General features: G+C 53.1%; 1 protein-coding gene across 1 annotated transcript in view, besides 1 other annotated feature; it reads right to left on the reverse strand.

Annotated features, from left to right (window-relative positions):
- The window catches only part of MYH9 (myosin heavy chain 9), a 106,688-nt gene that overhangs the window by 16,295 nt on the left and 69,082 nt on the right, over positions 1-21,311 (reverse strand). Inside the window, exons 11-24 of the mRNA NM_002473.6 lie at positions 20,633-20,751; positions 18,943-19,095; positions 16,571-16,744; positions 14,475-14,648; positions 11,708-11,822; positions 8,840-9,033; positions 8,356-8,477; positions 7,459-7,528; positions 6,421-6,581; positions 4,994-5,102; positions 3,960-4,091; positions 3,277-3,483; positions 2,553-2,690; positions 1,345-1,468 (exon numbers count right to left, since the gene is read on the reverse strand). Coding sequence (NP_002464.1) covers positions 1,345-1,468; positions 2,553-2,690; positions 3,277-3,483; positions 3,960-4,091; positions 4,994-5,102; positions 6,421-6,581; positions 7,459-7,528; positions 8,356-8,477; positions 8,840-9,033; positions 11,708-11,822; positions 14,475-14,648; positions 16,571-16,744; positions 18,943-19,095; positions 20,633-20,751 — 1,992 coding nt within the window. The remainder of the gene's footprint in view (positions 1-1,344; positions 1,469-2,552; positions 2,691-3,276; positions 3,484-3,959; positions 4,092-4,993; positions 5,103-6,420; positions 6,582-7,458; positions 7,529-8,355; positions 8,478-8,839; positions 9,034-11,707; positions 11,823-14,474; positions 14,649-16,570; positions 16,745-18,942; positions 19,096-20,632; positions 20,752-21,311) is intronic.
- Positions 2,382-3,581: an enhancer, noted in NCBI's record as "CDK7 strongly-dependent group 2 enhancer chr22:36696002-36697201 (GRCh37/hg19 assembly coordinates)". NCBI's record gives its function as "activates an origin of replication core promoter dependent on BRD2, BRD4, P300/CBP, MED14 and CDK7 cofactors, with strong dependence on CDK7, by STARR-seq in HCT116 cells {active_cell/tissue: HCT116}" and the evidence as "EXISTENCE:reporter gene assay evidence [ECO:0000049][PMID:35650434]".

The raw sequence follows: 21,311 nt of genomic DNA on the forward strand, positions 1-21,311 counted from the left end.
TATTCCCTGCCGTGCCTTTGCCACCCCATCACGTGATCTTGAGATGTAGCCCGTGAAGTTTCGCTGGAATAGATGTGTAAGGACATTTGTCTAGGATTCCATTATGAGAATACACCACAACTTACTTATGTACCCGTCCTGCAGCTGGCGGGCATGCGGCTGTGTTCATCGCACGCTCTGATCAACGCTGCTGCAAGCATCCTGCTCACTCTCAGTGCACACGGCTGAGTGACGGATGGAACGGCCAGGTCACCGGCATGCTAAGTTTCAACCTCACTAGGACTGCCGGATCGTTCTCTAACGCCGTCTACCAGTTTGCAGTCCCAGCAGCAGCATATGTGTGCTCTGACAGCTCCGTGTCTATGTTAGCCCTTATTAGTGTCAACCTTTCATGTCTGTCCATCTGGTGGGTGCAAGGCAACCCCTAGACCTCCTAGATGACCAAGTCTTCCGGGCTCCTCCCAGGTGAGGGAGGGTGTCTGTGAGGGAAGAGATCTCTCTGTGTCCGGACCTCTCTTCTGCTGGACCTGACTCACCTCATCCCCTGCAGATGTGAGGGGGCCGGACAAGACTGTGAAACTAAGCTGGGGATAATCCTCCCGGTGGTCAGGTTTTGGTCTCCCTCCCCTGGGTATGAGCTCAGAGTTCCCAGAGTAGTCGGGGTTCCCCTGTTCCCCCAGCTGTCCACTCCTCTCAAGGGGCAGGGCTGGGGGTCCTCAGACAGCCACGGACCTGTGCTTCTACCCCAGCACCCCCTCCCTGCCACAGATCCCGAGGGCACACAGAGACAAGGCAGGATTTGTCACCCTGCCCCAAGTCAAGCAATGAACTTCCGCAGTATTCGTCTAGGACTTTACGGTACATATGTGTTCACATGTATTTAATGAAATTCTCACAGACACCCTAGCACTGTGTCCCCTTTTTAGGTAAAACTAAAGCTCATGGAGCTTAAGTCATAGCTGCAAGATGAGCCAGCTAGTCAGTGACAGAGCTAGTGAGTCCTGTGGGTCAAACCCGGAGCCTCCTAGGAAGTCTCAGAAGCTTCCAAAACCCACGGCACACAACAGAGCAATGCCAAAGCTCTCTAAACACGCTTCATGCAGTGGGGGCATCTAGCCACAGAGCAACAGGGGCCTGGAGGCTCAGGTTCCCGCAGGCACCAGACACGGCTCCCCTCGACCTGGTGACCTCAGGTCTAAAGGGCAGCAGCCAGTGCTGTAGTGTGACCCAGGCTCACCCGTGAGCTGAGAAGGCCTCGGTGTTCCGGTCAGACAGGCCGGCCCCTGACCGCCAGCCCTTGCCCGCCAGCCCCTGCCCATCACCTCCTGCTCGTCACCCCCTCACCTTCCAAGTCAGTGATCATTGCCTCATGCTTGTTCTTGAGCTTGGCGAGGCTCTTAGATTTCTCCTCCTCTTCTGTGAGGTTGGTGGTGAACTCAGCTATTCTGTCTTCCAGCAGTTTCTTTTCCTGGGGAGAGGGGAGTAGGCTGGCATTTAGTGTTGGTTGAGCACAGAACACTTGCTAGCCTCAAAGCATGACTCGCCCGGAAATCTGGGGCTGAATGGAGAGGGCTTTAGACGCTTGATCAAGTTCATTAGGATTTTCCTAGATCAAAGGATAATTTTGAAAGGTCACGAGCTCCCCTGAAACAGCGAGGTACGCTTCCTTAGAACCAAAAAATGTGGGTGCCCAAGCCCTTCCCCTTCCCCTGTGGGCTTGGGTGAGAAAGGATTCCAGGTGACAGCTAGTGTCAGCAGGGACAGATGGCTCCACTCCTTCAAGAGGCTGCCACACGGCGCTCACCTGCGCCACCAGGCCACCTTCTCCGTGCCCCTCTCTCACCTGCCAGGTGGGCCACGGCCCCTCCCCCTCTTCAGCCCCGCGGTGCCCCGGGCTGCTCTCCTTGCTTTCTGTTCTGTGTGGCCCCTGCAACACCCCTGCCCAGCGGCCACAGCTCGGCACAAGCACCTGAGTCCCCTCATCCCAGTCCCGGGTGGGCGTCCTGCCACCTCAGCCTCCCCAGCCTTTGGGGCTCCCATGTTCTGAGGAGGCCCGAAAGGTGGGGAGGCTGCCTTCTCCTGCCTTCTCCTCTAACTGGTTCCCCGGCTGCTATCTGCTCCCTGGGCAGACACCGACAGGGACCCAACTCATTCTCAAGAGGAATAGCTGCCGCCCAGGGACAGTGGAGGAAGAGTACCCCGTATCTCAACACAGAGCCACCAAGGTGTCCCCAACCCCACAGTGACCAACACTTGCAATGCTGCACAGATGGCCACCTTTACACAGGCTCGGGTCTCACGGCTGGCAAAGAAGAGCTTTCCAGAGGGGAAAGGACAAACCCTTCCCCAGGGCCCCTTTGCTTATGAGGAAATCCCTCAACTAAGGCCCATGGGACCTCCAGGGAGCACTTGCAGTTAAGCAGAAGCCCTCATGCTGCAGGCAGAAGAGACAGGAAGCAGCAGCAGCGGGGAGCCAGGCCCTGCAAGGGTGACCACACTCTCCCATCCACGGCGCCCCTGGAGCAGCGGCAGGCGACAGCCACGGGCCTCACCTTGGCCAGCTTGCAGTTCTGGTCCTCCAGGATGATCTGCTCCTCCTCCAGCTTTTTCAGCTTCGCCTCGGTGGTCACCTTCTCCAGCTGCAGCTTCTGCCGGGCGCTCTCCTCCTCCTCCAGCTGCTCCTCAAGCTCCTGCCGGGGGCCAGAGACACGGTAAGGACAGCAGGCCCAGAGGCATGGCCAAGGTGAAGGCAGCAAGGTCCGAAGGCCAGATCCAAACGCCAAGGAGAAAATAGCAAGGTCTGTGAGCCCAGGGCCATGGCTGAGGTGGGGACGGCAAGGTCCGCCAGCCCAGGGCCACAGCCGAGGCAGGGCCCAAGCCCCATTTGTAGGATTCCAGATTTCAAACTGGGACACAGGGCCAGAACATCGGTGCAATGTTCTGAAGGGTTTCCTGCAGCAAGCTCCCACCCATGAAACAGGCAGGACGCAGAGGTGCTGGCCCTGTGCCCCTTCGGCTAGCCAGGGCCAGGGCTAATGGCAGGGAAATCAAATTGGCCTTGATGCTGGCCCAGGCAGTGCTCATGGAGATCTCAGATGCACATGTCACAAACTACCAGCCCAAAGGGAACACCTCTCACTGAGAGCCCCAAGCAGATTGCGTGAGGAGCAGCCTCCTTGGACCCTAATTCCATGTTCTCCCAGCTCCTGGTTCCTGCTCCTCCGCCCCGCCCTGCCCCTCCGGCGCCACCCCTCCCCGGGTGCAGCGGGCAGGAACCTGGATGTTCTGCTGCATCTTCTTCTTCTCCGCCTGCAGGTGCTGGCAGCGCTCCTCCTCCTCCTCCACCCTGGCCTCTAGGTCATGGCAGATCTCTTCTAATTCCTGCTTCTTGGCGGTCAGGCGGGCCCGGAGCTCCTCAGCCTCGGCACACAGCTCGGTTTCTGCCTGGAGCTGCTCCTGCAGCTGCAATTTCTCTGCCATGAGCTGCAAACAACAAGTGGAAAACACAAGCTCCTCGCAACACCCTCAAGCCACTCCATCCTCAAGGACGGACGCCATGGCTCGGGATCCCAGAGGGAAAGGAACATGCAGACAAAAGTAGCTTTCATCTGGAGAGCTCTGAAGCTTCCAGGTACCTTCCAGACATCGTGTCCTTGATTTTTCACTACCCCATGAGCTCCAGAGCAAGGTCCCAGGAAATGGGCTCAAGTCATGTGGTAGAGCTGAGGTTTGAACCCAACACTTGTGAACGTTCCACTCTATTAAGTGGCCTCCCTACATCACTTAACACCCAATGGGGTCTGCAGAGAGACTGGTCACTGTTTACAGTAATAGGAAACTCAGTTGTAGAAAACTCCTATAGTAATAGAAACTTCCAGCATGCCGTGCCTACCGATGGCCAGCAGGTGGCAGCACCAGGCAGGTCGTGCGACCTGGACTGAGCCTGCACTGACACCCACCTGAGACTGCAGCGTCTCCATCTCCGTGAGCCTGTTCTCCGCAGCCAGCTGCTTCTCTCTGACCTTCACCAGCTCCTCCTCCTTGGCCATCATCTCCTCCTCCTGCCGGCTCACCTGCAGCAGCGGCTTGACCTGGGAGAGGAGATAGAGGTAGAGACATGCTCGGCTGGAAGATGCCCGCCTCTGCCAACAGGTGTGAGGCCTCTCCCTCACCTCTGGAAACATGAAAGTGAGGGGCAAGAAGACACGCTGTGGTGGGGGCTGCAAGCAGGCACATCCTTCCTGGCGCTCTGTACCACGGGCTTCTGACCCGCTAACTACATTCCAGGGAAACTATCCCTGCGTGTGCGTGAAGATGTTCACCTCGGCATTGTTTATCACAGCAAGAAAATGAGGAAGGACCCATCTCTGAAAAAGTACCCAGATAATGATGTGTTCCCTAGGGAACAGCACACTACCTCTAAAAAAACGATGCTTATGAAGGAATCATAAATGGAACGTACGAACTACAACTGTTTATATGAGTCAAACTCAGCTATGGAAGAATGTATACTGTTTACATAGCTGAGGTTTTATAGGCAGTGAGAAAAAGAGCGAGAAATTAAACACTAAAATAGCTGCTGCTGTTGGTTTAGGCTAAGGGTTTATGTGTGAATTTTTATTTAATTCTTTAGGCTTTTTGTGAGTTGGTTTTTCGCCATTACCATAAATTATGTATTATACACAAAAGCAGCCCGGACAAGTTTAAAAATAAAGAGATTTTTTTTTTAAAGGCCAGGAAGGTCAGCCTGGGCAAGATAGTGAGACCTTGTCTCTACTAAAAATCAAAAAGGGCCGGGCACAGTGGCTCATGCCTGTAATTCCAGCACTTTGGGAGGCTGAGGTAGGAGGATTGCTGGAGCCCAAGAGTTTGTGACCAACCTGGGCGACATGGTGAGACCACACCTCTACAAAAAATACAAACAATTAGCCAGGTATGTATGGTGGTGTGCACCCGTAGTCCCAGCTACTCAGGAGGCCCTTCTAGCACGCACCTTGGTGAAGAGCCGCCACCACTGCCAGTTCCGCAGCTTCAGGTAGGCAGCGCAGTTCCGCTGGAGGACCTTCATGGCGGTAAGCTGCTGCTGCCGCTTGGCAAATGCTCTGTGTGGTGAGGAACATGGTCAGCGCGGAGCAGTGGACAGCAGACCCGACCTAACAGTCCTGGTCTTGTCCTCAAGCTTTTCTGGGGGTCTACCCTTGCCTGGGGCACCTCAAGAAAGAAATTCAGGGAAGGGGTCTGGCCTTGGGGTTGAGATAAGTTTCTCCCACTTACAGGCTGTGTGACTCCATGAGGCACTAATCTTACAGTCGGTGAAGGACCTAGGTCACCAGACTACCCCTCCACTGAGGTGCCCATGGGGGTGAAGGCACGTGTGAAGTAACCACAGATCCTACTCAGTGTGGGGACTGAGCGTGACCCTTGGTGATTAAGCTGACTGGCCCTGGGTGACTCTGGACTTCAGCTTCCCACCCTTCGTGCTGTTCCCTATCTGAGCTTTTGTTTGGTGGGAGAACGTCAGAAGCTGATGTACTGTGAAGGTGGGCTGCAGGTGTCAGCTGGAGGGCTTTTGGATAAACAAGCCTCCATCTGTGCAAATGCTCAAGCTTCGTCTCCCAGAGCTCGGCGCTCCTGCTAGGACCCCATCCCCGAGCACAAGGGGACGAGTGTGCAGTGCCCACAGCCGCTGTCCTGCAGCAGGGGAGCCGTCATTCCCCAGGGAGTCAAAGATGAGTCTGGACTCGAGGATGGCCTGCTCCCCTGGAATCACAGGGTTCTTTAGGGACAGGCAGGCTCTGGGTGCTGTCCCCACAAGGGTCACACGGTAAGGAGTCCTGGTAAGCAGGATCCTTCAGGCAGGCAAATCCAAGCAGAGTCAGCCTCTTCCCACCCATCACTCTAAACCCCAATCAGAAATGCCAGATTCAGCCAGGAGCAGTGGCTCATGCCTGTAATCCCAGCACTTTGGGAGGCTGAGGTGGGCGGATCACTTGAGGTCAGGAGTTCGAGACCAGCCTGGGCAACAATGACGAAACCCCGTCTCTACTAAAAATACAAAAATTAGCTGGGCGTGGTGGCGTGCACCTGTAACCTCAGCTACTAAGTGAGGCTGAGGCAGGAGAATCACTTGAACGTGGGAGGTGGAGGTTGCAGTGAGCCGAGAACGCACCACAGCACTCCAGCCTGGGCGACAGAGTGAGACTCCGTCTCAAAAAAAAAAAAAAAAAAAGAAAAAAAAAAGAACTGCCCGATTCTACTCCTCAAAGGTAGAAATCCAGGAACAGGGGTAGGAAGAGCCACCTGGGCCTCCCTGACAGGCATGTGACTGGCTGCAGCGGGGTGGCCTGCTAAGTGCCCTTTGGCAACAGAAGGGCGTGGCAAGGCCTGGCATGCGGGGCAGGAGTATCTCCCGGGACTCACTTCCTGGCCAGGTAGCCCCTGCAGCAGGCCTGGAACCCTATGATGACGTCGGTGATCTTCAGGTCTCGCTCCTCCTCCAGGTGGGCCAGCACACCGGCACGGAAGAAGACTTTGCTCTGGCCAATGCGGTACAGATTGCTGTCGAGCTCCAGGGCTTTTATCTAGGTGGGAGGAGCAGGCCGTTTACCTGGCCAGCAACTGGCCACAGCTCCATGAAAGGGTGGCCCAGGCACAGCTGGAGGTGTGCCCTTCACCCTTCTTCTCACTGGCTGACGAGCATCTGGAGAGCAGAAAGCCATCTCCTCTCCCTCCTTCTTCCTGTTCCCTATCTCCCCGTCACCGAACGCAGGCTGTGCACACAGTAGGTGTTGAATTTTTCCTTCTCTTTTCCTCCCACCAACTCCCTACTCTGCAGCCAAAGCTTTCTGATTCTTTAGAAAGAACGTGAAGTAAAACAAGGCCAAAGGTAGCAGCTGCTAACCTGGACACGCCAGAAACAACAGGATGCTGGGAAGGGGAAAAAAGGAGCAGGGTGGGATTCAGCCCTGGCTTGGCACTGAGTCACCGCAGGGCTTTCAATCAACCGGAACTCAGAGCATGCGCACAGCCCGTCCAGCACTGCGCTAGGGCTGGGAGTGGGGAGGGAGGGAGGAGAAGCCCAGGTCACGGAGCACCAGGCCTGCTGCCCTGGCTGTGAGCTGCCCTGCTCACCACACTGGATGTGGAGTCAGGCCCGTGAGCAAGAAAGCAGGAGAATGTCCCCCAAACCAAAGAGGCCATCATCTTACATCAGAGCCCGGCCATGGCTACAGTTCTTGTCTCCTCCACACAACCCTGGTGCCAAACACCATCCCTGGCTATCTGAGGCCTAGGGGCTACTGCAAAGGGCGCCCGGCAGAGTCAGACGCGGAGCATCAGAAGGGACACAGCCTGGGCATCCACCGACCACTGATATAGCAAGGTGGGCCCTGGCCACGTGGGCACTCCCCAGACAAGGGGCTGCCCATCCAGAGAGGCAGGGACAGCAGCTCAACTCACCATGAGCACGCACGCCTGCTTCCCGTCCATGAAACCCTTGGGAATGGAGTTTGGAGTCAGGATCTCATATCTGAGGAAGGAAAGAGAAGCCTGGTCATTTTACCCATTGCCTCGATTCCACATGCCTGGAATATAGGCGAGAGATTAACATCATTTCTACAATGCAACAGACACAGAATTCTTTACACAAACTCTCCTAAGGAAAGAAGACACAGGCAAATCCCACCCCACTCTTTTCTTCGGCTGAATGAGACAAGGAAGCCTTGGTGTTTTCCGGAAAGTGAATGGAAACTCGTGTAGGACCGTTTCAATCACTCAAGGGCGTGCTTCAGGTTGGACTAAGTGCTAATTGCCTGAGATCCTCATCTGTCACCCAGGGACAGCCATGTTCACACAGCTTCCCTGGGACGCTGCAGGGAGCTGCTAATAAACAGAGATGGCCCAAGAAATAAAGGGCTGCGTCCCGACAGCAACTGACACTCAGCACAGTCATTAGAGAAACAGGAAGGTGTCGCCGTCTTCGCACACAGCAACGCACGGCCGTGTTTCATTTCCACAAAGTTCCTGTAATATCCTAGGTCTCTGGCTGATTCTTTTACATTTCTTTTCATAGCTCCTCTAACTGTAGCAAATAGCACCAGGGCCGGCAGTTACTAGGAGCAAAAGTCAACAGGATGATGATGACCTGCATTTCGGTATTAAAATGGGGAAGTCTCCTTTCCTGCAAAGGGTGGAAAAGAGAAGGAGGTGGGGAAGAGCTGGCCAGACTCAGTTCTACATGGATGGAGGACGTCGCTCCCTCACGACAGGATCCTGCCAGGGAGCAGCAGCCCACCTCTGGGACTCACTGCACGCACAGCAGGGCCCAGGAGAAGCGGGCTCCGGGCCCTGGCTCACCTCTGCCGAAACTCCTGGAAGACCACCCTGTTGGGGAAGCCCTGGCGGCAGATACGGATGCCCTCGAGAACACCGTTGCAGCGCAGCTGGTCCAGCACGAGATGCGGGTCCAGCTTGCCGGCCTGGAGAAGAAAACACATGCATGCGGTCTCACTTCCGTGCCTAGAACAGTCGGAGAATAGTCAGGGAACCCCTATGAACCTGACAGGGCAAGAGCCTAAGGGAGGGGGTCGCTACAGCCCACAGGTTTGGACAATGAAGTCAAAGGATCCAGGTCTGGGAGGGGCCAATGCCACCAAGAGGAAGTGCAGGCTGTGAATGTAGCGTATCTCCTAAGCGAGCCAAGGCCCACCCTGCAGAGAAACGACTGAAGGCTCTGTGCATGCTGGGGGGCTGGAGGGGTGCTTTTGCTGGGGAGACAGACAAGGGCTGAGCACCCCACACCACAGTGCCCTGCCCGGGCCACCCCACCAGGCAGCCGCACCTTCTTCTCGTGGTTGGGGATGATGCAGCGGACAAAGTTGGGGTTCGTGTTCCTCAGCGTAGCCATCAGCTTGGCCAGCTGCTCCTTGTAAAGCTGCCCCACAGTGCGGAACATGCCCTTCCGCGTCTTGAAGGCCCCGGGCAGTGCGGTCTCCGACATGCCGGCCACCTGGTCCAGGCCGATGATGCGGTCCACTGTGGAGACCACAGAGAACACGTGAGTGCCCACACAGTTGCAGCTGGGTGGTGGGGGAGCACGTAGGAGAGAGAGACAGGCACACGTCGGACAGGAAAAGAGGAGACAGAATGAAACAACAGGACCCTTTCCAATTGGAGCCTACACTGGGTGCTAAGGTCATCCCCAAACACAGCGGGAAGCCAAGGGGGATGCAAAGGCACTGGGCTTGTCTCTTGGGGAGCCATGCATCTGCCATGGCCACCTCACCTTCCTGTCACCTATCTTCAGCCACTCTCGAAGCTCTTATTTCCAAAAAGACTCAATGAAGCTAGTCATGTATTTTGGAATAGTGAGAATTCTACTAGCCTGGCTCTAACGAGGGGTGTGAAAACCTGGCTTACGGAATCCTGCTGTCCTATGGTCACAGTTAGAAAAAAAAAAAATCAGTATCTTGAATTCTCACTGACCCTGTCATAAGAGCACTCGGCTGGGAGTCAGGAGGCAGAGCTTGGGGCCACCCTGTCACTGTCTGCAGAACCTTGCAGGGTCCCCTCTATATCTACGCAGACATCTCAGGAAGGGAGAGCTCCAAAGAACTGCTCTTGATTATAAATACTCCAAAGTTTAGGGATCTCTTCACGTACTTGTATTTCATTTTGTCTCCTGGTGCACGGGTCTTTCTCATGTAAACCGACCCTCAAGGGAAGCAGCCCCTAGCACTGGAACTCACACCCAGCAGCAATTAAACCAATTGCATCCTCCAAGGTAAAAAACAAACAAACAAGCCAAACCAAAGTGGCCAGCGATTTGAGATCAGTTTAAGCAAGAGCTAATGTTAAATGTGAAGCCTTCTATTACTGGATATAAAAGTGAAGAATACTGACGAAGCCCGTTTCGTATTCCTTCACGGCCAGATTACTATTATTTACTTGAAGACAGCAAAAAGGATGCTTGCTTAAGACAGAAGCCAGGAGTGTGGATGGAGCCTACAAACCAGTCAATTAAAATGGGAGGTGGCTGGGCATGGTGGCTCGCGCCTGTAATCCCAGCACTTTGGGAGGCTGAGGCGGGTGGATCACCTGAAGTCAGGAGTTCGAGACCAGCCAGGCTAACATGGTGAAACCCCATCTCTACTAAAAATACAAAAGTTAGCTGGGCGTGGTGGCGGGTGCCTGTAATCCTAGCTACTTGGGAGGCTGAGGCAGGAGAATCACTTGAACCCAGGAGGCGGAGGTTGCAGTGAGCCGAGATTGCACCATGGCACTCCAGCCTGGGTGACAAGAACAAAACTCTGTCTCAAAAAAAAAAAAAAAGGGAGTCATCTTTGACCTTATGTACCCACCACAGGGTCAATATTCCTGGCTACCACAGGTTTCCTGGGCGTGGTAACTTGCAAAAGCCACTCAGGTTGTCCAGAGAAAGGTTAATGTGGCCTCATCATAACTGGCCCTTTTAGCTGAGTGTGTCCTGGCCCCACCCCCATGGAGCAGACCTTGCCGAGCAACTGTTGAATGAACACACAGATGCCACTTCAGCTTTCAGGTGCACAGACACAGCAGTGTGCATACCTGAACCTCATGCTAAGACACTCGCAGCCATTCAAGCAGTTTAAGACGCTGTCTTTAGGCATGAAGCTCTAAGGAGGATACAAATTTTTAAACAATTTTTGCTGTTTTAAGATTTTTTTTTTTTTTTGAGGCAGGGTCTCACCCTGTCACCCAGGCTGGAGTACAGTGGTGCAATCACAGCTCACTGCAGCCTTGACCTGTGCTCAAGTGATCCTCCCGCCTCAGCCTCCTGAGCAGCTGGGACTACAGGCATGCACCATCACACCCAGCTGATTTTTTTTTTTTTAATTTTTTTGTAGAGATGAGGGTCTCCCTATGTTGCCCAGAATGGTCTCAAACTCCTGGCCTCAAGCAATCCTCCCGCCTCAGCCTCCCAGATTGCTGGGATTACAGTGTTTTAAGATTTGAATGTGACGTCTCCAAATTCCAGACACAGCCCCTCATTTGCCCAGTTTGCTACTACAGGCCGGCGATAGGCACAGTGCGGGGAACCTGCCCAGAAGCCCAGGGGCAGATCAGGGAACGGGGGTGTAAGCAGGCAGGAAAAGCCAAGGCAAGGGGGGGCGCGAGAAAACCTAGGCAGAAGCATTTCTTGCACAGCTTTGGACGCACCACACACACAAGAGACACCACTCGGGCGGCCAGTCACCTGGTTCTAGGTGGAGAATAGGAAAGCGATGATAGAAATAGGCTCTCTGAGTGCTCTGCATCTCTGCAACAGAGAGGTTAAAGCAAAACCCAGGCAAAGGAAAAGGAGAAACCAACAGAAAGAATTAAAAAGAACCACTCAAAGCAACCAGCCTACCAAGGAGTAGAGGCGGGAATGCAACATGGCGCGGGGCTGGGAGCCTGGGCTTCGAGGCTCGGGGCTGCCCTTGACTTTCCCACACACGGAAAGCGCTCCGCCCAGGAGGACCCGGCCACGGTGTGTGCGCAAGGGCAGTGGCCTCCTGTTTCGGTCCGAGGAGCCCTCTCTCATGGGAGCTACAGAGGGCAGAGACCACCTGGCCTATGTCAGGGGGCACATGTGTACCCCTTGTTTGGCAGCTCGGCCCACTGTGGAGGTGGGAAGATGACCAGCCGCAGCCAAGAGGAGGCAGGGGGCGAAGGGCAAAGGGCGTACCATCCTTCCACAGCTCCGAGACAAACTTGTCAGAGGACTGGTGGAGCAGTGTGGCGATGTTGTCATTCAGGGGATCCATGTTCTTCATCAGCCACTCGTCAGCTTTGTAATCCACCTGGCGGGGTCAGAGAGGCAGGAGTCACAAGCTGCGCTGGGGACATGTGTGCTCACAGGGTCTCCGGAGCACAGGCTAACCCCATGCATGGAAAAGTCAGAAAACGTGAAGACCCTTTGATCCAGCATTTCCACCCCTAAGAAGGAAGTGGTGAGGATAAGGGGAGCGAGGCATCAAGACGTTCTCTGCGGCGTCTCGTGCAGAGCCAAAGCCTCAAAGCAAGGCATGGCCAACAACGGGAGCCTGGCTCTAGACATGGCATGGTGGCCACACAGTACCGTGCTGGGTTTCAGCTTTTTTAAAATTTTTAGGTAATATGAACAAAGAAAAACAATCCTGGAAGGACAACAAAATGTTACTATTTCTTTTTAGTCATAAGACAAGTAATTTTTGTTTTTTCTTTGTCTTTTTAGAATGTTCACATTTTCTCTGAGTATGTGTCAGTTTCATCTTTTTGGAAATATATTCTGTTTTTAAATATATTTTTTTAATTGGGCAGCCTCCTAAACTAGAGGGTTCAGAGAGACTCCCAGAAATAGATTCCTTTTTTCTCATTTTAAATAGAGATAGGGGCTGGGTGCGGTGGCTCATGCCTGTAATCCCAGCACTTTGGGAGGCCAAGGCGGGTGGATCACCTGAGGTCAGGAGTTCGAGACCAGCCTGGCCAACATGGCAAAACCCCATCTCTATTAAAAATACAAAAATTAGCCGGGCGTGGTGGCACGTGCCTGTAATCCCAGCTACAGGGCTGTAATCTCAGCCCCTAGGGGGGCTGAGGCAGGAGGATCGCTTGAACCTGGGAGACGGAGGTTGCAGTGAGCCGAGATCGTGCCACTGTACTCTAGCCTGGGCAACAGAACAAGACTCCGTCTCAAAAAAAAAAAAAAAAGATAGAGATAGGGTCTCACTATGTTGCCCAAGCTGGTCTCAAACGTCTGGGCTCAAACTGTCTTCTTGCCTTGGCCTCCCCAAGTGTTGGGATTACAGGCATGAGCCCCTGTGCTCTGCTAAAATATATACTTAACAGAACAAGTAATACAGCATGACATCTTCATTGCAAAAGGTCCCAGAACAATACCCAGAGAGCATCAGGGACCTAGGCCTCCCTCTTCCCAACACAAACTGCAGCCCAGAGGTGCTCCCCTCAGTATGCAAGCGAATGCACGCTGCTGCATCCCAGGGGTGCTCCCCTCAGCATGCAGGCGAATGCATGTTGCTGTTTATCATGAGGTAGGTGATGCCAGTTTCCTTTCCCCAGGCTCAGACCCTCCCACCCAGGCCAACATCCTTGTCCTTTTAGCGGCCACAGCACAGCCCACGGAAAGACGCACCACAGTTGATGCCATCGTGCAGGCCCCTTGGTGGGCTTTAGGGTATTCCTAATTATTCAGCATTACAAATAATCCCACAGCAAAAGCCTTCCTGGAAGCTTCTGCACTGATGAGCGTGTGCGTTTCCCAAAGGTGAGAGTGGAGAAAGGAGGCTCGGGAAACATTCCTTGGTTAATGGTGTAAATCGCTTTTTTGGCTTTATTATTTTTTTCATGGGTAGTTTAAGACAGTTGCTTCCGCAGCCCCAGGAACCAGCCAAGCTAAATAGAAGAGGCCGGCACAGGTGTGCTAGAACCGGGCCTGGACTCCTTGTGGCTTGGGAACAGACCTGTGAAAGCTCCCACATCTCCTCGCCAGTCATCACCAACTAGTCACCACCAACAAGGAGATGGCGCAGCCCCTGCCTAATCACAGCAATTAACTGTTAGGGTCTTTGTGCAGGAAGCACACGATATGCTGAGAAAAACCAGCTTTTGTCTAAGCATGCACCTCTATGGACTAAGTTGGGTCTAAGCCCCAGTCACATGCAGACTGGGAAGATGTCTGCTAGGTAAGTGTTGAGGGCAGGTCCACCACTGACTGACTGTGGCAGACTTGGCAACAGCAGCTGTCACCCACAGCAGTGGCAATTCCCCGCACCTCCCCCCCCGAAACTAGGACATGTTTGGCGATGTCTGGAGACATTTTGGGTTGTCACAACTAAGGACGGTGCTCCTAACTCTAGTGGGTAGCAGCCAGGGATGCTGGTAAACATCCTAGCATGCACAGGAGGGTCCCACAACAAAGAATGACCCAGCCCGCAATACCAGGAATGCCGAGGTTGAGGAGCCCTGCCCCGGAGCACTGATTCATGCCACATGTTGGGCCTCAAGAGCTTGTTTAATCCACATAATCCTGTATGGTGGGTGGTCATTCTCATTTTCCAGATGAGGAAACCAAGGATCAGAGAGGTTAAGTAACTGACCCGAAGTCAAACAGCTTATGAGTGGCAGAGCTCTATTCAAACTCTGAGCACATGCCTTTAGCCAAAGCTCTGCACCTGGCAGACAGGCCCAACGATAATGCATGATGACAACCAGCCTGGGCACCGCGGTGGAGTGCCGCAGGCTTCTAACAGCATGGAGCAGGTGAAGGGGCTCTGTAAGCTGTGTAAATGATGATGCTGTCACCGGCCACATTACTGGGTGAGTCATTGTGCAAGAACCGTACTCAGGTCACACCCCTGCGTCCCCAGCAGCTGCCCGGCTCCTGGTCCTAGAGAGCCTCGACTCCACCTCTCCTGTGAAGATCTGGCCAGCACCTCCCCGTGAGCGCTCCTCACCTTGCCGGCATAGTGGATAATGCAGAAATCAGCTTTGTCCTTCAGCTGCTTGGGCTTCTGGAACTTGGGGTGGGTGCCCTGCTCCTGCATCACCTTCTCCACGAAGCTCTTGTCGGTGGCTTTGGGGAACCAGCACTCCTCGTCCAGCAGGGCCAGAATGCCCGGGGGGCCTGCCTGGAGGAAGCGCAGCATCAGCACAGGTGAGTGCACCCTGGGAGGGGCACCCCACCCTTCAAGAAGCCAAAGCCCGGACATCAGAATCCCCTGAATCCCACAGACGGTGGGCGACACACTCCCCAGGAGAAGCAAAGCACTGTTGAAGATTTCTAGCTTCTAAAGAAACCTCTGGGGCCCAGGCTGCGGCTGACACCTTTACCCAAGGATCCATCGCGGTGGTTCTCCAGCATTAGTGAAACCCTCAGTGGGTCTGATGAAAAGTGCACATCCGCTGACCCGCGGGGCCAGAGTCTGACTTCACAGTGCACTGGGGTCTGCCCAGGAGGCTGCCCTCAACAAGTACCCTGTGATCCTGCCACGGGAGATGCCAACCCACATGCTTTGCGTCTGCATGTCTATGATGAGATGGGATATGTAGGAGGAGCCCCTTGAGGAAGATAGTCCCAGGGACCCAGCAGCCTTCTGCACACTGAGTTTACAAGACAAGAAAGCAGGTTTGGACACTGCAGAGAGGCTGACAAAACTTGAAGCCCAGTGGGTTCCTATTAGTTGGAAAATTCAACTGATTAAAGAAAAAAGCTCATTACAAAAGTAAATTTTTGGCCAGGCGCGGTGGCTCACGCCTGTAATCCCAGCACTTTGGGAGGCCGAGGCGGGCGGATCACCTAAGGTCAGGAGCTCGAGACCAGCCTGGCCAACGTGGTGAAACTCCGTCTCTACTAATAATACAAAAATAAGCCTGTAATCCCAGCCACTCAGGAGGCTGAGGCAGGAGAATCGCTTCAAACAGGGAGGCAAAGGTTGCAGTGAGCCGAGAGCACGCCATTGCACTCCAGCCTGGGCGACAAGAACAAAAATCTGTCTCAAAAAAAAAAAGGAAATTTTTTTCAAACTGAAAAAACTTTGTCCTAGGCCTTCTGATCAATTAACCATAATCAAAAGAAAACCCAGAGACAGGCCAGGCGCGGTGGCTCACACCTGTAATCCCAGTACTTTGGGAGGCCGAGGAGGGCAAATCATGAGGTCAGGAGATTGAGACCACGGTGAAACTCCGCCTCCACTAAAAATACAAAAAAATTAGCTGGGCGTGGTGGCGGGCGCCTGTAGTCCCAGCTACTCAGGAGGCTGAGGCAGGAGAATGGCATGAACCCGGAAGGCGGAGCTTGCAGTGAGCCAAGATCAGGCCACTGCACTCCAGCCTGGGCGACAGAGCGAGACTCCGTCTCAAAAAAAAAAAAAAAAAAAAAAAGAAGAAAACCCAGACACAGGAACAGCTCAGGCTTCATTACAGATCATACCCTCAACAAGCCTAAAACACAAACAGGCGACCCAACCTCTACCTGGCAAGAGGTTTAAGTATGAACTCATTGGAAAGGGTTCCTCTTTTCCATCTTCACACAGCTAATGCTGGCGATAAAAGCACTGCTGCTTGCTGGTTTTATGGGGGGGATGAGCTGAGCTTTGGTACGTGTACACCTGGGCAGAGCACTCAATGCCCAGGGTCTGCACTGTTCCATGCTACAGTGAAAGCAGCCCGCGATAGGGCCTTACTACATCCATGCATGGCTGTTTCTTTAAGACAAAGAAATGCTTATCGAGCCCAGCCTTCAGGAGGATGCTGGGTGGTCTTCTGGGACTGAAAACAGGATGCTAGGGCCCCCGCCACATATGCACCTGGTCCGGCAGCTGGGAAAAGCCCAGCCCACAGCTGCAGCCCAGAGCATCTCCTCTAATGGAGGCACCCACCCAGGCCTCCCAGGCACTGGATCTCAGCCTTGGGGCTTCATCCTCCGGGTGGCACCAAAAGGAAGGGGAGTTAAGACACCTCCACAACCAACACAGAGCTGAGGTGAGGAGCGGGTGCCCCGGAAGGGAAAAGCCAGAGGCAGGTGTGAGGTCAAAGCAAGCCTGGTACTCACTGGCTTCTCAATGAGGTCGATGCAGGGCTGCAGGTCGAGGCCAAAGTCGATGAAGTTCCACTCGATGCCCTCGCGCTGGTACTCCTCCTGCTCCAGGATGAACATGGTGTGGTTGAAGAGCTGCTGCAGCTTCTCATTGGTGTAATTGATGCACAGCTGCTCAAACGAGTTCAGCTGCAAGGAGAGAAAACAATGTCAGAGAGACGCCAACCCTGCACTAAAGAGGCCCAGACACCCCTTGAGAAGGAGGGTGGGGCAGGGATACAGGAAGGGCCTCCTTGGGCACCTCCATGCCGCTGCCTTTAGAGCCCGGATGCTCCTGGCCTTCCCTTTATCCACCCAGCAGTGGGCAACATTTACTCTTTGGAGCCAGTGACCGCGGGCAGTCTGGTAAAGCCTTTTCAGAATAGTGCTTTAAATTGCATCCAATAGATTACAAAGAAAGTAGTTATTTTGAAATATAATCATCAAAATATTGTGATCGAGTAATACATTGTTTTTTTTTTTTATTTTTTATTTTTTGAGACAGAGTCTCATTCTGTCACCCAGGCTGGAGTACAATGGCGCAATCTCAGCTCACTGCAGCCTCCGCTTCCTGGGCTCAAGTGATCCTCCCAGCTTAGCCTCCCTAGTAGCTGGGACCCCAGGCACACACTATGGTACATGGCTAATATTGGTATTTTTTGTAGAAATGGGGTTTCACCATGCTGCTCAGGCTGGTCTTGAACCCCTGAGCTCAAGCAATTCTTCTGCCTCAACCTCTCGAAGTGCTGGGACTACAGGTGTGAGCCACTGCACCAGGCCCTTCTATTTTTTTATTGAAGAGATGGGGCCTTGCTTTGTTGCCCAGGCTGGTCTCAAACTCCTGACTTCAAATGATTCTCTTGCCTCAGCCTTCCAAAGTGCTGGGATTACAGGAGTGAGCCACCGCACCCGGCCTCTGTGCTTCCTTATTAACAAGAACTAGCCATGGGCTTAATAACTTCCAAAATTTTGAGGTAGCGATGCATAAATGACACTACCAGATCTCTGCAACAACCGGAATGTAACACGAAAACATCTGATTTCTATTGGTGACAGATCACAAGTACTGCTAATACAACTGTGGTTTGTATAGTTTGTTCAGTTCGCAACTGGAAAAAATACATGATTTCAATGAGAGGTTAGTAAAAAATAAAGATGTAATTTTCTCATCCCAGCTCATGGCTCCTCTCAAACCTCCCGTGGACTCCAGGTTAAGAACCTCTAATCTACTGTAAGTATCGGTTTCCCTACTAGACCTCAAAGTTGTCATGGGCAAGGGAGATGTCTTATCCCGATGCTCAGGGAATATTTGCTGGAAGAATAAACAGGAAGCACCTGCCCAGGAAGCCTCCAAGAATGTGACCTAAAAGGTCCCATCCTCCCAGCCTGGACAACATGGCAAAACCCCATCCGTACAAAAAATACAAAAATTAGCCAGGTGTCATGCCACATGCCTGTAGTACCAGCTACTCGGGAAGCTGAGGTGGGAGAATGGCTTATGCCCGGGAGGTCGAAGCTGCAGTGAGCCATGTTCACACCACTGCACTCCAGCCTGGGTGACAGAGCAAGACCCTGCCTCAAAAAAAAAATAACAAACAAACAAAAGGTCTCATTTTCTCCAGCATTTCTGGTTGAAAATGAGCCCTTCTGTTTAGCTTAAAACACATCTAACTGAGCCTGGGCCACACCTGAGGCCCCATCTCTACAAAAAATTTAAAAATTAGCTGGGAGTGGTGGTGCGTGCCTATAGTTCCAGCTACTAAGGGGGCTGAGGTGCGAGGATCAGTTAAGCCCAGGAGGCAAAGGCTGCAGTGAGCTATGACTGCACCTCTGTACTCCAGCCTGAGTGACAAAGCGAGACCCTGACTTTTTTTTTTTTTTTTTTTGAGACAGAGTTTCACACTTGTTGCCCAGGCTGGAGTGCAATGGCGTGATCTCGGCTCACTGCAACCTCTGCCTCCCGGGTTCAAGCAATTCTCCTGCCTCAGCCTCCTGAGTAGCTGGGATTACAGGCATGCGCCACCACGCCCGGCTAATGTATTTTTAGTAGAGACGGGGTTTCTCCATGTTGGTCAGGCTGGTCTCAAACTCCTGACCTCAAGCAATCTGCCGGCCTTGGCCTCCCAAAGTGCTGGGATTACAGGCATGAGCTACCGTGCCCAGCCGAGACCCTATCTTTTAAAAAAGAAAAAAAAAAAAACAACCCCACACCCAACCAAAGTCTTCATGCAAAGGAGATGGCCAACTCAGATCGATGCAGGACCATGAGAAGCAGGGTTCTTAACCAAGGATAAGGCAACCAACAGGCCAAGGAGGCAGCAGGGTGGGTAATGAAGGGCAAGGCTCACATCAAAGATCTCGAAGCCGGCAATGTCCAGGATCCCGATGAAGGAGGCGCCCTGCCTCTTGGTCTTGTCCAGAGCCTTGTTGATGCGCAGCACCAGCCAGCGGAACATCCGCTCATAGGTCGCCTTGGCCAAGGCCTCGATGGCAAAGTCAGCCTGCGGGGCACACCCGGGGAGCGTGGTGTCAGATACAAAGGATCTGAAAACCCTCATACCCTATGCCCCAGTAATTTCACTTTTAGAGTCCTCCCCCTAGAGGAACAGCCCTAAGTATGTGGGGGAAAAAAAAAAATCTTCGTACACAAATATGTTCACTGTGGTGTTATTTAAAATGATGAAAAGTAGAAACAACCTAATATCTAACAATATGGGGACAATAAACTTAGATCTTTTGAAATAAAATGAGGACACACTAAAGGATTTACAGAAAAAGTGATGCTTCAAAATAAGGCAGTGGTCTACGGCCGTACCACCCTAAATGCACCCGATCTCATCAAAATAAGGCAGCAGTCTACGGCCATACCACCCTAAACGCGCCCAATCTCATCAAAATAAGGCAGCAGTCTACGGCCATACCACCCTAAACGCGCCCGATCTCATCAAAATAAGGCAGTGGGCAGAGGGGCAGGGGGAGATAAGACAAACGATGAGCCAAGACTCGCCGTGAGTTAGTAACTGCTGAAGCCGCCTACGTGATGGGCACGTGGGGCTCTTTACACTCTCCCCTCTTCTTTGTTTTGCACATTTGCAAAGCTCTGTAATTAAAAGCCAGAAGGAGAACTAAGTTTAATTCTTTTTTTTTTTTAAGTCTTGTAGGAAAGAGCTGCCCAATGATATTCATCACTGGGAATTGTTTTCCTTCTCTCGATTTTTCTGTATTAAGAGTCATGTAGTATTTTTGTAATAGAAAATGGAGGTTTCTCCTTAATGGTCAGGGAAACGAACAGGTGGCAGGAATAATACGCGATGTCTTTTGAAAACAACAGTCTTGTCTTTCATGCAATGCTTCTGCACAGAAACAGCCGTGAGCTGTCAGTGTACAGTGAATGGGAGAAAGACTAACAAAATGAGCTTCCAAGTATTTTTGAGAGATGGGTTTGGCACCCTAAAAACCCCCATGGCCAGCACCATAAAAGAAACTAGAAACCCCGGAGAGAGGCAGAAAGCGGTCCGCACTGGGCGGGACCTCCACTCCAGGGGCAGGCAGGCACATCAGTCTGGCAGGAAGGAGCAAGCGCTGCTGCTCGTCTCTCAGCACACGTGGCAAGCCCAAGGCAGCAGGTGGTAGAGAAACAGCCGCTTGGCACAGGCTCGAGGATGGCGGGAGCCGCCACCCTGGCACCAGAAGGAGTTCAGCTACAGTGGCATCAAGTTCCTGCTTTTATACCAGACAGGACATGCCTATATCCTTGATGACCAATCAGCCAAAATACCATCTCAATGTAAAGAGGCACAATGCAGTCTCAGGATGGCACTTCCTGGGCGTGAAGCCTTGAGTGTGCCATGAAGCTTCTCCAGTGCTCTAGATGGCGTTATGCCACCTCTCTCCGGGTTGCTGTGAGGACTGCATCATGGAATCATGTGAAAGTGCCTGACACGGACACCCCAGGATGGCCCACAACAGCCTCAACTGTGCTGCTGCAGGGACATTCACCCAGGAGGCAGCCAGCTGCCCTGGCCCCAGAGGACATACCTGCTCTTTAGTCTGCGCCTTCTGGACGTAATCCCGTCCCACCTTGATGCGCGGGGTGAGGATTCCTCTGGTGAAATCGGTCACATTGATACCCAAGAGATGGGACACCTTTTGGGCAGCTAAGATTTTTCAGAGAATAAGAGAGGGACAAAAAGTCCTAATTAGACCCAAGAGAGAAAGTTCTAATTAGACCCAAGAGAATAAGTCCCTCTGCTTGACTTGGGAGCAGAGAGGAAGAAAGCCACGGGGTGAATGAGCAATCATTACCAGGACAACCGCATCTGGGCCCTTCTTTAGCAGGGCCACAGACACCTAGCACCCCCCAGACTCAGCAGCCACATACAGGTCAGTGGGCAGGGCAGCTGTACCTCCCCTGAGCCCCACGGGGCAGAGAGGAAGGCGTCCTGGCTGGAGGCCACAGCGGCAGCAGTGGTTCCTCTGTCCACTCTCAGCCGCACTCCTCAGAGTGTAAAAGCAGGTCCCTACCCACCAATGGGGCTGAGAGGAGCAGGCCAACCTGGTGCTGGGGCACGGAACAGCACAGGATCCCACAGGAATGTCTTTTTTTTTTTTTGAGACGGCGTCTTGCTCTTGTTGCCCAGGCTGGAGTGCAGTGGCGCGATTTCGGCTCACTGCAACCCCTACCTCCTGGCTTCAAGCAATTCTCCTGCCTCAACCT

This window comes from Homo sapiens, chromosome 22 (genome assembly GCF_000001405.40).
Source record: "Homo sapiens chromosome 22, GRCh38.p14 Primary Assembly".
NCBI classification, from domain to species: domain Eukaryota; kingdom Metazoa; phylum Chordata; class Mammalia; order Primates; family Hominidae; genus Homo; species Homo sapiens.